Below are 16594 nucleotides of genomic sequence, written 5' to 3'. Positions count from 1 at the left end.
ATGAGGAGGAAGAGAAGAAGGAGGAGGATGAGGATAAGGAGGAGGATGAGGAAGAGGATGAAGAGGAAGAAGAGAAGAAGGAGGAGGATGAGGATAAGGAGGAGGATCAGGAAGAGGATGAGGAGGAAGAAGAGAAGGAGGAGGATGAGGAGGAAGAGGAGGAGGAAGAAGAGAAGGAGGAAGAGGAGGAAGAAGAGGAGGAGGAAGAGGAGGAGGAGGAGGAAGAGGAGGAGGAGGAAGAGGAGGAGGAGGAAGAGGAGGAGGAGGAAGAGGAGGAGGAGGAAGAGGAGGAGGAGGAGGCAGCAGCAGCAGTTCCTTCCTGGCTCCAGGAAGCAGCTCTGCACCCACCAGCGCCCGAGGCAGCCGTGGTCACACCATCACACCCAGCTCCAGACTGAACAAAGGATCCTGCCAGTGGCCACAGGGAGCCTGCACCCAGACCTGTTTTTCCAAGGATGCCAGGCTGAACGCCCAACCCTGGGTGTAGCTAAATGGGTCTAGCTGGGTGTAGCTTCACTGCATCTCCTGCCGAATTGGTGATACCGCAAATCCAAAGGAGCCCTGCTTCACCTCCAATGGCAGCTTTCAGAAAGTAGAAGGGATCAGTCTACACGAAACATGAAGATCATGGAGAAAAATGTACAACCAGCCAGATCACCCCATACCCTGCGGCTGGCTCTGGGGCCTCTAGCACATCCCCCATCCCAAATTCACCTACCAATCTAATGTCCGCTCATCCCTCAAGGACTGACTTGCAGAAGTCTTGCCCCTCTGCAAAGCCACCACTACAGAACAATCTGTCTGACCCTCCTGTTCTCCCACAATCCTCCTCACTCCATCCTGGGCTCATTCACTGAATAATCATGCTCCTGTCTCTGACTTGGACAGGCAGTGGCTTTGCTGCCAGGAACACAAGGATGGAAAGCAGCCCCTCCTTAGAGGAGCCCAGCCCAGAAGATGAGACAAACAAGGAAGAGATGATTATGTCTCAACACAGGGCTGTTGCAGGACCGATGTGAGCAGAAGGCTACACACACACAGAAGGGGAAACCCAGCCCAAGGAATCTAGAAGGCTCCCCGGAGGTGGGATGTCTCAGAGGGACTCGGAAGGACAAGTAGGTAGCCACCAAGCAGAAGAGGACAGGACAACATTCTAAGCAGAAAGGTTTCCAAGGGCTGTGTGAGTCCTTGGGAATGGCTGGATTGCGGGGTACCTGGGAAGGGAAGACAGTGCCTGCCTTCTAGAGGCAGAAGTGAGAACCACTTTGTGAAAAGGAAATGGTCAGATGCAGCTTTAAAATCGTCACGATGTCAGCAAAACCAGGAGGACAGCATTTTAGGGGCTATTGCAAAAGTCCGAGAGAAGAAATGAGACTGAACCAGAATAACAGCCGTAGAGGTTAGAGGTGACGGCCACAGGGAGAAGGGGACAGAGTTGTTTTTTGTTTTTTTTTTTTTTTTTGAGACGGAATCTCGCTCTGTCACTCAGGCTGGAATGCAGCGGCATGATCTCAGCTCATTGTAACCTCCGCCTCTCAGGTTCAAGCGATTCTCCTGCCTCAGCCTCTCGAGTCACCGGGACTACAGGCACCCGCCAACATGCCTGGCTAATTTTTGTATTTTTAGTAGAGACAGGGTTTCACCATGTTACCCAGGGTAGTCTCGAACTCCTGAGCTCAGGCAATCCACCCGCCTTGGCCTCCCAAAGTGCTGGGATTACAGGCTTGAGCCATCACGCCCAGCCGGGAACAGATAGTCTTCCAGGAGCTGTTCAGCAACTGGGGTCCTTATTACTCAACCTCCGCTACTAAGCAGCTGCTCCTTGCAAGTAGCCACCAGCTTTCCTAGTTCTGTACTCAGCCGGTAAGTACAGCTGACCATAAAGTTTTAAATACTATACATTTAAAACAGTGTGAGTTTTAAATAGTGTGTGTCAGGCGTATCCTGACACATAGGTGTTTGACCTCCCTAACCCTGATAGGAGCTGAACAAAGAACATGGTTATACAAACTGAAAAACCAAAGAACCACACCTAGGCTAACCCAACAAGATCAGAGGTAGCTCAGCCGGTGCCTAAAATAAAACAGCCTTCAGCAAACCACTGCTGGGCCAGGAGAGACTCGGGAAGCGGGAGGCCCGTGCACAAAGACCAAGGAGGCAAGAAGCCATGTTTCTCCGGGTTCACCACTCACCACTCATCTCTATCCAGGTGGCTGTGTGACTATGGCCAAGTCACCAACCCTCTCTGGGCCTCAGATCCTACATCCACCAGCTGGAAGTGAGGATCTGTGACATGCACATAGGCAGCCACCATCTTCTGACCCCCACAGTGGGAAGAGAGCCACAGGCAGGTCAGGTGCGGCCTCCTAGCCTGCCCAGAACACCGGTTCCCAAAAGCAAAGACATTAAGCACTTCCTGCCAAGGGAGGGAAATGCTTGTTTACAGCCCTTAGCTGGTCCAGTCCTAAGTCTTCAAAAGGGGAAGGAAAGGTGCCCAGAAATCCTTGATCACAATAACCAAAAGAGCTGCAGCCTCAACATGCCAGAATCTCTGGAGGAGTTTGAGCAGGGGCCACAGAGAAGTGGCTCTGGGCCCCCTTAGCACCCAAAACAAAACAAAACAAAAATCTTTATTCTCCCCATCCCCCAAAGCCTTTCTTTTTTAAATAAAAAAAAATCTTGAAAAATCACAGTTTCTGAAAATAAAATCTGCTCCCTTTTACCATATTTTCTCATGAAGTTAAAAATACAAGTGTTGGAGGGAAAAAAAAGTTTTGCTTAAGGTCAGAGGGGGAAAAGGCATGTTTTTTGAAATCTTGAAAAATAAACAGACTCAGCCCTCTTGTGCAGGCTCTCTGGGAATGTGACCTGAGTGCTGTTGGGGGTTGGAAAGCCTGGCTTACAGAAAAGTTCAAGGGCATACCCAAGGTGGGAGGTTAGTAGCTCAGACACCATGTTCCGCATTCGCCTCTGGATGACCAGCCAGCCGCCACTGGGACATGGGCATCCAGGAATGGAGTGGCTGAGGCCGGGTGGGTGAGGAACAGCAGGGAGGAGGAAGAGCAGCCGGCCTGCTGCCCTGGGAATCAACCACCCCCACTCCCCACACACACCTAAGCCAGTCCATGCTGAGGGATGCTTGTCCAACCAGACGCAGGGTGTGGGGTCACGTTCCAGCCAGCCAAGAGCCCACCATGTTGCTGCAGCAGTGACACAGTGAGGTACAGCAGAGATGTGGTCCACTCCAGGGCAGGGTCACAGACACGGGATGGTCCCTCAGCTTGGCCTATCTGCATCTCAGCAGTAGCTAAAGAACCCACAATAAAGCTTTGGGGAAACAGGGAAGCAGGGCTCGGAGGCCACCCAGTCGATACCTACTTGTTAAGCACCTACTATTTGCTAGACCCTGAACCAGACACTAGAACTACAACAAGCAAGACAGACAAGGTCCTGGCTGCCATGGAGCTTATGTTCGGGTGCTTGGAGCCCCTCCACTTTCTCCTCCCCCTGCACCCCTATGCCCTGTCCACAGACCTTCTGCCACTCCTGCCGGGTACTGATGTGTGTCGACGGTAAGCCACGGCCTTCCCCACCTCCATCAGGACTCATAAACTCCAGGGAGGCTCTGCAGGCAGAAAGGGTGGGGAGGGGAACAGAGCCCACACCACTGTCTCTAACATGAGGTGCAGCCCCAGAGGATGTGCCCAGTTTGATTACTGCACACCCACGGCCTCCCCGCTCTGGGCTAACCCTAAGAGCAGAGGACACAGGCACAGGCCGTTCTACCTGTGAGGACCGTCCAGTCCAGAGAGGGGGAACTAAAAGCAAAGGGTTAGGATGAACCCAGGGCCAGCAGGGAGGACGGGGAATGAGCAGGGCTTTGGGATCAGACAAGTGTTTGGATCTAAGCCTGCTTCCTGGCTGTGTCTACCTGGGCAACTCACTTCACCTGAAAGCCTCAGCGTCCTCTATGGTATGGGGGAGATGACTGTGCCAGCCTTGCACACACATCCCATGACCACATAGCCCCGGCGCTGGATACGGTGCAGTCATAGCCGTCCTCCTCTCTGCTTTGTGAGGTGTGGACAGCAGTGTGGGAGTGGGTGGGGGGCTGGACTTTGCCAGAGGAAGGCCAAAACAATTTAAGAGGTGAGATATCAGTTGAGCTAAGCCCCAGAGATGGAAATATAATTTCTACAAGAAAAAAAAGAAGAGAAAAGAATTCTAAGCCCAGAGTGAAAACAGGCATTTTTTTCCTTGAGGGCCTAATGACATTTCCTTATCCTGAAATGAAAGATTTGTGATGAATTATTAATAATGGACGGACAGATGTAGCTTTTCACTCCCTTCTTCCTCTCTTCCCTTTTTTCTTCCTTCCCTCCCTCCTTACCTTCTCCCTTCTTTCCTCCCTTCCTTCTTCCCTTCCTTCCTCCCTCCCTCTCTCCCTCCCTTCCTCCTTCCCTTCCTCCTCTCTCCCTTCCTCCCTCCCTCTCTCCCTCCCTTCCTTTCTTCCCTCTTTCTTCTCTCCCTCCCTTCCTCCTTCCCTTCCTCCTCTCTCCCTTCCTCCCTCCCTCTCTCCCTCCCTTCCTTTCTTCCCTCTCTCCCTGTTCTCTCCCTCCTTTCCTCCTGTCTCTCCCTCCCTTCTTCTCTCCTTCCCTCCCTTGCTTCCTTCCCTCCCTGCCTTCTCCATTCTTCCTTCCTTCTCTCCCTTCCTCTCTCCCTCCCTCCCTTCCTTTCTTCCTTCTTTCCTCCCTCCCTTCCCTCCTATTCTTCAATATAAATTTATTGAGCATGTGCTCTGTGCGAACACTGTTCTAGACACAGGGGACACATTAGTGAACAAGACAGACAGGACATCTCCTGGACCTTACATTTCATCCTCACAACTGCCCAGAGTCATCACCAATGCCATCTTACGGACAAGAAAAAGAGTTTTACCAGAAGCTTGTTATACACACTGAGCCTTTGATCCCAAACAGATAAAAACAATCGGCCTTCATCCCCTGACCCCTCACCTCCCCACCTTTTCCACCAAAACCTCTGCCTCCAGGCAAGGGAATGGGTGACCAGCCCCAAAGTGACCGCTTCCAAGGGGTGCCTGCATGGCGGGCTGCAACAGGGGAGGCGGGCTGACCGGAGACAACAAACTTCCCAGCCCTTCATTATTCCTGCCAGCCACTCCAGAACAACCTTTTCCCTTCAAATTATAGCAAATTGAAAAGCAGAGTCAACAGAGGCCCCCAAACTCCTGAGAGAATTGAACTTGCCCTGGTAGCTTAAGGAAGGCTGAGGGGGGCCCTGGGGCCCTCCAGACCCCCACGTGTGACTGTCTCTATATTGTACAACCAACAATTAGATGGTACTGAAAAATCCAATCACAGACTGTGGCAAGAATGAGTCAAAAAAACCTAACATACAAAAACACTCTTTTTCCCAAACAAGGGGGCAGATTTTGAGCCAACTTGTGCAGTGAAGATTTTACTTCAAAGGACTTAAAGCACTTTGGGAACTCAATTAATGAAAGGGATTACTGTAACAGTGAGCTCAAATTGCCCTGATGAAATAGTTAAGAGTTGTAGTGGTGGCTGCAGGGTACAGGGTGTTCATTACACTATCCTCTCTATTTTTTGAGTACATTTGAAACGCTTCATAATGAAAAGTTTTTAAAATCCTGATAAAGTAACATGACACCTAAAGGCTACAGAATACATAAAAATGAAAGTAAAACATTCACAGTGGGGTTAATAAAAATGAAAGTAAAACATTCACAGTGGGGTTAATAGAAAGAATAACCCCCTGGATTTGTGGGGTACTTTGCTCTGTACTTCCACATGCAGCATCTAATATGAGCTTGCAAGGAAAGGAGGGGTTATGAGCCCCATTTTGCAGACAGGGAAGCTGAGCCTTGCCCAAGGACGTTCTGCCAGGAAGTCATGAGGTGAGGACTTGACCTTGATCACAGGGGTCCTTCATCCCTCCCTACTCTGGCCAGGTCCCAGCCCCAGCACTCAGCGGCTCCCTGCTCCCAATTCCTACCTCCACGGATATGGCTTTTATAAAACAGGTTTTACTGTTGTTGTTAAAAGTTTTTGCCTGCCACCGCTCCTTTTACCGTGTCACCGCCCCATTTCTGCATCACCCAGTGCGGGCTTTTAAGAACTGCGCCCATGGTCCCCACAAGCAGAGTAGAGCTGATGGTTCACACAGCAACCATCTTCCCTGCTGTGCCTTTGGCCCCAAGGCTTGTTTGGCCAATGGACAGTCCTCAGTATAAAATGTTTCCAGTGGCATAAATCAAGGTGCAATGGAACACTTCCCCGGGACAGACTTAACTGTTACAAACCCTGATTTGCTTTTTCAGAAACTGTCTGGGCCAGGGCTGGCCACAGATTCCTCCAATCTCTGCCCCCAACCCAGGAATCGAGCCTTGGGGAGCCTGGCCCAGGGAGGTTTCTTCTTACCACCCACCCTCCCACTGTACTCAGGACCAACCCAGGAAATGCTTTAAGTGACAGTTTCTTTAACCTCTTTCATTAGAGACCCATTTGAGAAAACAGGAGTCCCTTAGTGCTCCCCCTACCTCCACCAAAGTCTGTCCTTGTCGCCCCTAGTACTGGTTGCCCCCAGCCTGAGGTGCGCTTAGAGATGCCAGCCAACGTGAACCCATGATGTATAGGTCTGATGACTTCACTCTAGACATGAGCCCTGAGACCTCCTCTCTTTGCATCCTCAGAACCTCTGTTATGTCTGAAACCTCATAACCTTTCATGAGGAACACATCGTACCTGTTCTGGGCTCCGGGAGTGTTGCAACAGCCCTTGGCCAAAAGCAACAGAGCTCAGAGCCAGATCCCCACGCAGACTGGCAAGTCCTCCAGGCAGCCCAGGATGGGGAGCTCGGATGCCTGTGCTCTGCAGAGCCCTGCCCAGGACCTCCCCTCCATTTCCACGAGAGGCCCCAGTGAGACATCCCTTTGCCAGGACGGCAGCCTTGCATCCAGCACTCACACTTGGGAGAGACACGTGGTGTCACTGGCAGCCCAGTACACAGGCTCAGGCCTGACCCTCCACCTCTGTCTGTTAGGCCCTTTCATCACCTCCTCATGCTTCCCACACCTCCAAATGGCTAACAACTCCCAATATTCACCCACTGACGACTGAGAGGCCACAGCAGCCTGTTCTGCGCCAAAGCCCCTGGACACAGAAGCTGAGGAGCACTTGAGATGTGGCTGGTGGGAGTTCAGAGGTGCTCTGAGGTAAGATAAACTGGATTGTAACTGCTTAGCATAGAAAAAGGAATGTAAAATATCTTGTTAATAATTTTCATATTGATGGTGTACTAAAATGATCATTTGTACATATCGGATTAAATAGCCGGGCTCAGTGGCTCACATTTGTAATCCCAGCACTTTGGGAGGTCAAGGTGAGAGAACTGTTTGAGACCAGCCCAGGCAACATTTCTACAAAAAAGAAAAGGATTTTTATATTAATGATATACTAAAATGATAACCATTTGCAGATACTGGATTAAATAAAATATATTATTAAAATATTATTAAAATAATATCAGTTGTTCCTCTTTTACTTTTCTAAAGGTGGCTACTAGAATTTTTTCTACTTCATAAGAGGCTCACGTTTATTTCCACTGGACAGCGCTGGCCTAGACAGTGGCTCTGACATACACCATCTGGGCCCAAACCTCAGCTTCCTTGACTGGTTGTTTGATGTTGGGCAGGTTTCATTTCCTACCTGTACCCAGCTTCCTCCTCATCTGCCCACAGGGGATCCGAGTACCGAAGTACACTGCCCAGAGCTGGGGAGGAATCAATGAGATCAGACAGATGTGCAGTTACCACAGTTCCTGGCTCTCGATCCATGTTGGCTGCTCTTGCTCATTCAACAGATACTTTCTATCTCCCTATGACATGCCAGGCTCTGGGGACACAAAGATGAACCTTGAAACATTCTCTTGCCAGAGTTATCCCCAATTTAGGCTTTGAAGGGCCAGGCTCACGTCTCAGCTTTGCTACTACCTATGTGACCTTGAGCAAGCCACATTTTGGGGAGTGGGGCTCATGGTCCCATCTGCAGGGTGACCCTTGATGACTCTGGGATCTCAGGGAAGCCATCAGCATTAGAAAGCAGAAGAAGGCAATGTTCCCAGAGGGCAGGTGTCTGAGCTAGCTCCACCCCAAGGCCTAGCCTCCAAGGGTACTTGCATTTTTGCCAGAGACACCATCAGCACTGGCCAGGGAATACAGAGCCCGGGCACGGGCAGGCGTTCCTGAAGCCTGGAACTCAAGGCCTCAGGAACGTGTATGTCTCACTCCTTCCCTGCAGCCTCACTCCTATGTCCTCATTTCCCAGCCTAGAAGAAGGACTTGCAGGGCTTGGAGGGGTGCAGGTTAGGGGACGAGGTGGGAATGGGGTGTGGATTCATTTTCACAGAAGCCTCAAAGTCAAATACTTCATCTCATCTCCAAATGTGACCATGTTGAGCTGCAGGGCTGGAGGACACTCCCGTCCCATCACAGGTCCACCCAGACTGAGCACACTATGAATTAATATTTCCTATAAATCCTAGCATTACCTTGTGACTAGACTAATTATATTGCTATGTTGTTTTTGGTTTAAAAAAAAAACACCATCCTGACAAAGGTTACCAGTTTAAAATACCATAATATTAATATTTATAGCTTTCTTAGGGCATTTTAATTGTTTTAATGAACTGGAAGCCTCAAAACAAAACCAAAAAACTGAAAGCAGGCCAGGCCCCTTATCAGCTCTGAAAGGCCCTGAGATGTGCCCCAACTCTGCAGCAGGACCAGGCCCCAGTGACACAGTAACTCAGGGCCTAGAGGAGGGACTGGATGGGCCAGCAGCCTGGAGAACTCCACAGCATCAACTGGGCGACTGTCACTCCTCCGGCCTCACCTAGTCCTGCTTTCTCACAAGGCCTCACCTTTAAGACAAGACATTCATGTTGGGCAGGAGAAAGCGCTCAAGAGCTTCTAGAAGCCTCCCGGAAGCCTCTGGGGCCCCCGCCAACCCTGGACTCTCCTGACAACTCCTGGGATCTCACCTCCACTCCAGGTAGTTCTGTGCCCAGCTGCTGACCACCAGAGCAGGAAGCTGTCACAGACCACCGGGGCCAACCCTTCAGGCTCTGGGGAGAAACCTGGACCCACAGGGGGCCTTGATCCATCTGCTCGATAGTCCATCTGCCCATGAGCCCATCCAGGGCCGCAGCACACGCCTCTCCTGCCCCAGCCGGAACCCGACCCTGGTCTAGGAGCTGAGGACACAGCAGTGCAGACACATCAGGTTGGTGAGGGAGACAGACAAGGAAAACAGACTGTTACAAGACAGCCTGGTGAGACGGGCTGCCAAGGAAAGGGGGAAAACTAGCAGGGGGAACAGCAGCACTGGGGCCAGAGAAGTGTCTCCCATCCCAGCAAGAGACAGCTCTGCTGCAGTCTGGAGCTCCAGGAGGAACTGGCCTGGTGAAGACCTGGGAGAATGGTCCAGGCTCAGAGAAAGGTTTGTGCAAATCTAGACTGTGAAAGAGACAGCCCAGTGCTCACTCACGATACTAAAGTAATTTAGGGCCCCAAAATGTGAGTGGGGGGAGGAGCAAGTGAAGTCAGTGGTTTGGAGAGTGCAGCTTGGGTCCGAACTCAAGGAAGAGGTGCTGTGTGAAAAGGCAAATCACAGCAGGGCACACTGGCATGGGGAGATCACACAGAAAGCGACAGTGGCCAGCAGAGCAAGAGACGCAGACCAAGGAGGGGAGGGCAAGGGACAGATGCCCAGGAGGGAGGTCACCAATGGCAATGAGAAACAGGATAGGCTCAACAGATGTCTCCAGGATTTCTGCTTGGGTGACAGGCCACTCAGGCTGTTGTCTGTGCAATGAGATCACGTCTTAGAAATAAGAGATTTAGTCTTTACCGAATCCATCTACAAAGCTAAGTAGCAGCCTGGTTCTCCATCACTGGTTCACAGCAGGGACATTCAGCCAGCTTCTCAGCCACCTCGGGGGATCGGATGACTTGATGGCCTGGCTCGGGGATGGCAGTGCTCAAGGGCACGCTTCCAAATGGGCAGGGGCCCAAGAGAAGAGGCGGCCAACCACCACCCCGGGAACCCAGGGCAACCTGCCAGCTTCAAAGGCTCAGCCGTGCTAAGACCCGAGGTCGGCCAGATCCCTCCCTGTGAAGAAGATGCCACCACAGGAGAGGCTGATTACAGAACAGTGGCTCAAATACAGGCTGTGTGGTCACAAGCATCCGCATACAAGCACCAGGGGTGAGCCGTGCACAGACATGGCCAAAATGAACGAGCCATCACCACTTCTGGGTGCTCGACACCTAATGGGAGCTCAAGAGCAGGGGAGAGGAACAGGAGAGCTCGGGGCAGAGACTGCCAACCCAGGGTAGTTAGTAAAGTAGGGTTAGGGGGGTCCCTGGCCAGACCCACAAGAACTGCTTTGGGAGCAGCCGGGAGGAGCAATTTTTTCCCAAGGAGGCAGTGAAGGCAGCATGTGCAGAGTCCCTGAGAGGAAGGTGAAGAGGTGTCCATGTGAGCAGAATGACCCAGCCCAAGCATGGAGGCAGCACATGGTGGCAAATCCATCTAGATGGAGAAGATCCTTGTGCTGGGGACAGAGTGAGAAAAGTCCTGAAAGCAATGGGCCGGCCCTGAGGCTTTACCCTGCAGAAAACGGGAAATCAGATGGGCGTGGTGGTTCATGCCTGTAATCCCAGTACTTTGGGAGGCCAAGGCGTGTGGATCATGAGGTCAGCAGTCTGAGACCAGCCTGACTAAAATGATGAAACCCCGTCTCTACTAAAAATACAAAAATTAGCTGGGCGTGGTGGCGCACGCCTGTAATCCCAGCTACTCAGGAGGGTGAGGAAGGAGAATTGCTTGAACCCGGGAGGCAGAGGTTGCAGTGAGCTGGGATTGGGCCACGGCACTCTGGCCTGGGTGACAGAGTGAGACTCTGTCTCAAAAAAAAAAAAAAAAGAAAAGGAGGGAGGGAGGGAAGGAAGGAAGGAAGGAAACAGGAAGTCATTGCCTCCAAAGCATTCTGGGAGAAAAATAATTTGGCAGTGCCTCAAAAAATTAAACACGGAATTACCATAGCATCTAGCAATTCCAATTCTAGGTATAGTCCCAAGAGAAGTGAAAACAAGGACTGGAACAGGTACTTATACACCAATATATTTCCATGCTGAGACCCCTAAAATAACAATAAAAGAATAAAACAGGTATCAACTATCCTACAAAGGCTGAGAGATGGGAGGACGAATGACAGCTGACCAGAGCCATCAGAACCACCTATGGAGGATGGCAGAGGGATGGATGGGTGGGCGCTGGCCTTGCTGGCTGGAGAGCCGACATTCACGTTCCTGCAGGTATTAAAACCAACAAGAAAAACTCCATTTGTGAGCTTGAGGCAACAAGTGTGACAGTGCACAGGCTCAGAGAATTGATTCCGTGTGTGTTACGGCACTAACTTTTTGTCACCATGGCCTCAGGACACTCAGACAAAGCATGTTTGGGATAATCCATTACTAAGCATAATTTGTCCCTGGACCAATTTTTGTTAAGTTGCTTTCCCCCTTTCCTGCAGCTGTTCTGCACGGCCAGGGAGAAGCCTCCAGAGATAAGGGTACTAAGGCCTCCAACTCCCTGGGCACAGAGCAGGGGACTTCCTGATGCTTATAGGTATAGCCCCAATACCACAGTTCTCTTGTATTCAGGGCTCTTCCCATTCTGGCCCCAGTGCAATACTCTGGGCACTGGGTTTGTAGGGTTCCTGAGGCAGGAATTCAAGGATGAAAAGAGCCAGTGTAGCCAGGTTGTAGGCATCATGCGCCCTCCTCCTCCACCACCACCCCACCCTCCAGCATGTGCAAACCAGGCGATAACTTCTCCAGAGACACAACAGAGACTTCACACTTTCCCAAAGCTGCTCTACTTTTCACATGATCCCCTAGAGAATGGAGTAGGCTCCTCGAGGGAGAGCACTCACTAGAACACCAGGCAGTTACTGGCACGCACATCAGTGCTGCTGCGTGGCTCTTCTTGCCCTGCAGCGTGGCTCTTCTTGCCCTGCAGCGTTGGAGCTGGCCTCGGCCACAAAGTGCCAGAGGGCTGCAGGCCACCGCCACTCACTCCTTGAGAACCACGGCACGTTTTGAAGGACACACCATCAACAGGAATGAGGAGCCCTTGCTGCTGTCACTGGAGTCAAGTTGGTCTTAACCATCCACTCCCACCCCCCTAGTAGCACCGAGCCCTCCTCCTTCCATCTTCTTTCATCAGAAAACTGGATCTTCCCACTTTCTCTCCCCCAGGATGCTGAGCTGCACAAGGGGAAGAACTATCCAGCTCATCTTTCTATCATAAGCACTGCACTCAGGGCTCAGCACCTGTGATAAGCAGAATTGTATGCCCCCAAATTCCTGTGTTGAAGTTCTAACCCCCAGCACCTCAGAACATGACTGTATTTGGAGAAATTTGAGGATAAGGCCTTTAAAGAGGAGATCATGCAAAAATGAGGCCATTCATTAGGCTGGGCCCCAGCCCAGTGTGACTGATATCTTTATAAAAGAGGTCAGGGGCCAGGCGCAGTGGCTCACGCCTGTAATCCCAGCACTTTGGGAGGCCAAGGCGGGTGGATCACGAGGTCAGGAGATCGAGACCATCCTGGCTAACATGGTGAAACCCCGTCTCTACTAAAAAAAATACAAAAAATTAGCTTGGCATGGTGGCACACGCCTGTAATCCCAGCTACTCGGGAGACAGAGGTGGGAGAATTGCTTGAACCCAGGAGTGAGAGGTTGCAGTGAGCCAAGACTGCACCACTGCACTCCAGCCTGGGCAACAGAGCGAGACTCCGTCTTGAAGAAAAAAGAAGAGGTCAGGACACAGAAAGACACCGGGGTGCAGGTGCATACAGGAAGGACCATGTGGGCTCAGAGCAAGGGGGCGGCCATCTCCTAGCCAAGGAGGGAGGGCTCCAGGGACCCCAATCCTGCTGGCACCTAGGCCTTGAACTTCCAGCCTCCAGACTGGGAGAAAATAACGTCTCATTGTTAAAGCCCCCAGCAAATGAATACAGAACCTAGGAAGGGGCAATGAATGAGTGATAGGTGGAAGGGCTAAGAAGAAAAGAGGAGGGAGAGGAAAGAGACGTGCTCAGATCTGTCTCTTCTGGACATCCGATCCCAGGCTGTCTCTTCAGTGGGCCCAAGTCCAACTAGCAGTCAGCTCAGAAATGATCCCTGAGGCATCGAAGCTTTCACAAGGAGGCCACAAAAGTCGGCTGCCTCTTTAAGACCTCCCTGTGGGACACAGCGACATTGGATAAGGGACTCGCCACACAGCTTGCCAGCCCTACAGAGAGTCAACGCATCTGCCATGGCTTCCCGAAGGCAGTTATGGAGAGAAAGAACTTGAGTGTTCCCCTTCTGCTTGTCCAGCACCCCAAGCAGAGGGGCGGCCTGCAGTGAGGTGCCAAGGCCAAGCTAGCCCTGAGAGAACAGGTGGAGACGGGCACATAGGAGCCATCGCTCAGGGCCATTAGACCGTCTCGGGAAGGGAGAGGCCACAGGAGAATTGGGGAAGCTTATCTAAAAACAACGATTCCTTGTCCCAAAGAATAACCACTTTGGAAAACAGGTTGTCAATTTCTGGAAAAGTTAAACCTATACCTACCATATGATCCAGATGTTCCTAAGTATTTACTCAAGAGAAAAGGAAATCTCTGTCCATAGAGAGACTAGAAACAACCCACCTGCGCAAACAGTTGAGTGGGTAAACAAACTGTGGTCTATCGATACAGTGGGTCACTACTCAATAAGAAAAAGGAATGAACTACTGATACGCCAACAGTGTAGATGAATCTCAAAATCTTCATGCTGAGTAAGTAAAGGCACATGAGAAAGGGTACTTGCTATATGATTCCATCTATAGACAAATCCAGAAAATACAAGCAAATCCAGAAAATACAAGCGAATCCAGAGCGACAGAAAGCAAGAACAGTGGCTGCTTAGGGTTCAGGGGACAGGAAGGGATGACAGGGCAGGATTATAAAGGGGCATGAGTAAACTTTCAGCAGTGATGGATAACTTGTTTGTGGTATGTAGATTCACACGGGTATGGATATATCCTAACTTCTCAAATCATATTCTTTAAATATGTGTGGCTTACTGTCTGTCAATTACACTCAATAAAGTGGTTTTGAAAGAGTACGGATTCCTGGGTCCCAGCCTGGAGAGTCAAGGTCTGTTGTGGCAGGGGTGTCGCAGAGAGCAGAAGAGGGGGAGAGGGGTGTAGCCTCCACTGGCACCCTGGAGCAGGTACAGAATGCATGCAGAGATCATGCCTCAACATCAACAATTATTCCTCCTGGGAAACTACAGACATCGTTATTTTTATTTTGACATCAGGAAACCCCTTCGCGTCCTCCACAACTAGTTTGGAGAGCCACTGGGAAGCAAGAAGTTCACGCAGTCAGCCAGGTGTTGGGTGCCTCCACCCAGCATGGTGGTCTGTGGGCTCTCTTGGGGGTCTGGCCGAAATGATCAAGGTGTCGGCACCCGACACACAAGGTGCGGCAGCACCCAGCAAGAGAATCCCAATCAGCCAACCTTCTGGATCCATGACCCACTGATGCTGCACTTGAAGACATGGAGGTTAAAGATTTGTTCACCAAATTAGGCTAAAACGTGGTCACATGATTCAGAGGTTTGGCCAAGGCATCGGATTTTCCCAAATCACAAAGGCAATGCATGGATATAGGGATATATTAACTTCATGTGCCAATATAAATTGGTACAGAAGTGATGTGTAACGTAATAATAATTGATCATGGTACGACCCTTGTGAACTGCAGGAAGCTATTCCTCTTTCACACAAGAGCCCTAGAGGAGAAGTTAAGACTTGAGTTCAGGTCCCGCTGTGGCAGGACTCCCAAAAGTCCATCCCCGCTTTGACTTTGACAGTTGAATTCCAACTTCTTGGAGTTTTCTACCTTACCCTCCCAGCTGTGTTGCTAAAATGTCAAAGGCAGCTTCAAGAAAACCAAAAACACTCTCTGATTTCACTTTTAAAACGTCAGTGTGGCAATTCCTAAGGGATCTAGAACTAGAAATACCATTTGACCCAGCCATCCCATTACTGGGTATATACCCAAAAGACTATAAATCATGCTGCTATAAAGACACATGCACACGTATGTTTATTGCGGCACTATTCACAATAGCAAAGACTTGGAACCAACCCAAATGTCCAACAATGATAGACTGGATTAAGAAAATGTGGCACATATACACCATGGAACACTATGCAGCCATAAAAAATGATGAGTTCATGTCCTTTGTAGGGACATGGATGAAATTGGAAATCATCATTCTCAGTAAACTATAGCAAGGACAAAAAACCAAACACCACGTGTTCTCATTCATAGGTGGGAATTGAACAATGAGAACACATAGACACAGGAAGGGGACTGTTGTGGGGTGGGAGGAGGGGGGAGGGATAGCATTAGGAGATATATCTAATGCTAAATGACGAGTTAATGGGTGCAGCACACCAGCATGGCACATGTATACATATGTAACTAACCTGCACATTGTGCACATGTACCCTAAAACTTAAAGTGTAATAAAAAAAAGAAAAACTCACCATTTACAACAGAGTCTGAGCTGCATGCCTTTACAATCAAAACCCAGCGTATCCCAGCTCTGAGGTATGAAACTTTAATCTGGCAAACAGAGGAGGAAGGACACTGAGACCTCCTTCAAACCCAAATGAGGGGGATTCTCAAAACCTCCTGAGGAGCTAGCACAGCTATGGAAAATCGGGTCACTGTCTGTGTTTGCAGTATTGCTTAGCGAGACGGTCCCCAAACTCCTGCGGCCCTCCCTTTCCTCACTGATGTTGAATTCGGAACACTAAGCGCATAACACTCATTTTTACACATGCTCAGCCCTCCCCTTCCTCCAAACGCTGCATTTTTCTTCCAATGAGTAATTTCTGAATGCCTTCCAAACGCACCCATCTAATTTTTTGGAGTCTCATTGGGGTCATCAGTCAGAAACAGCAGCAGCCAAAAGCACAGTATGTCATGACTTTAAAACCATTACTCTGTGTGTGTGTGTGTGTGTGTGTGTGTGTGTGTGCGAGAGAGAGAGAGAGAGAGAGAGAGCGTGCACACGCACAAGCATGCCTTAGAGAATTCAGACTGGACCCCAGTTCCAAAAATCATCATTTATCATAGGAAATAAAGGGTTCACTGTATGTTTTTCTTCCTCTGTATCAATTCTCCTTCATAGTAAAGTGTAATAAAGGAAACACAGAAGTGAGAGGACTGGCTGTCTCAGGAAGTGATAACAGCACCTGAGGCTTTCACCTGGAGGCCCGGTATCCAAGCCTGACCGAGGTCAAAGAGCCAAGGTGGTTCCTCTCTCTGGAGACCTGATCCCATTTCTAGTAGGTCAAGTCCAGGTCACTGCTTGGAGAGGAGAAACCCAAGATACTGATCAACCATGTGCCCTGACACTTTACTCCAGGCGCTTATC

The 16594-nt window shown here is 50.2% G+C and overlaps 1 protein-coding gene across 1 annotated transcript in view, besides 2 other annotated features; it reads right to left on the bottom strand.

The window, feature by feature from the left end:
• GRK5 (G protein-coupled receptor kinase 5) overlaps positions 1 to 16594 on the bottom strand; it is a 252175-nt gene that overhangs the window by 167937 nt on the left and 67644 nt on the right. The gene's annotated exons all lie outside the window — the stretch shown is intronic.
• Positions 2591 to 3090: an enhancer, noted in NCBI's record as "H3K4me1 hESC enhancer chr10:121048231-121048730 (GRCh37/hg19 assembly coordinates)". NCBI's record gives its function as "activates a minimal SCP1, AML or CMV promoter by ChIP-STARR-seq in primed H9 embryonic stem cells {active_cell/tissue: H9 hESC(primed)}" and the evidence as "EXISTENCE:reporter gene assay evidence [ECO:0000049][PMID:30033119]".
• Positions 10215 to 10715: an enhancer, noted in NCBI's record as "H3K4me1 hESC enhancer chr10:121040606-121041106 (GRCh37/hg19 assembly coordinates)". NCBI's record gives its function as "activates a minimal SCP1, AML or CMV promoter by ChIP-STARR-seq in primed H9 embryonic stem cells {active_cell/tissue: H9 hESC(primed)}" and the evidence as "EXISTENCE:reporter gene assay evidence [ECO:0000049][PMID:30033119]".

Source organism: Homo sapiens, chromosome 10, assembly GCF_000001405.40.
Source record: "Homo sapiens chromosome 10, GRCh38.p14 Primary Assembly".
Lineage (NCBI taxonomy): Eukaryota > Metazoa > Chordata > Mammalia > Primates > Hominidae > Homo > Homo sapiens.
This window is presented reverse-complemented; position numbering and strand designations above follow the sequence as displayed.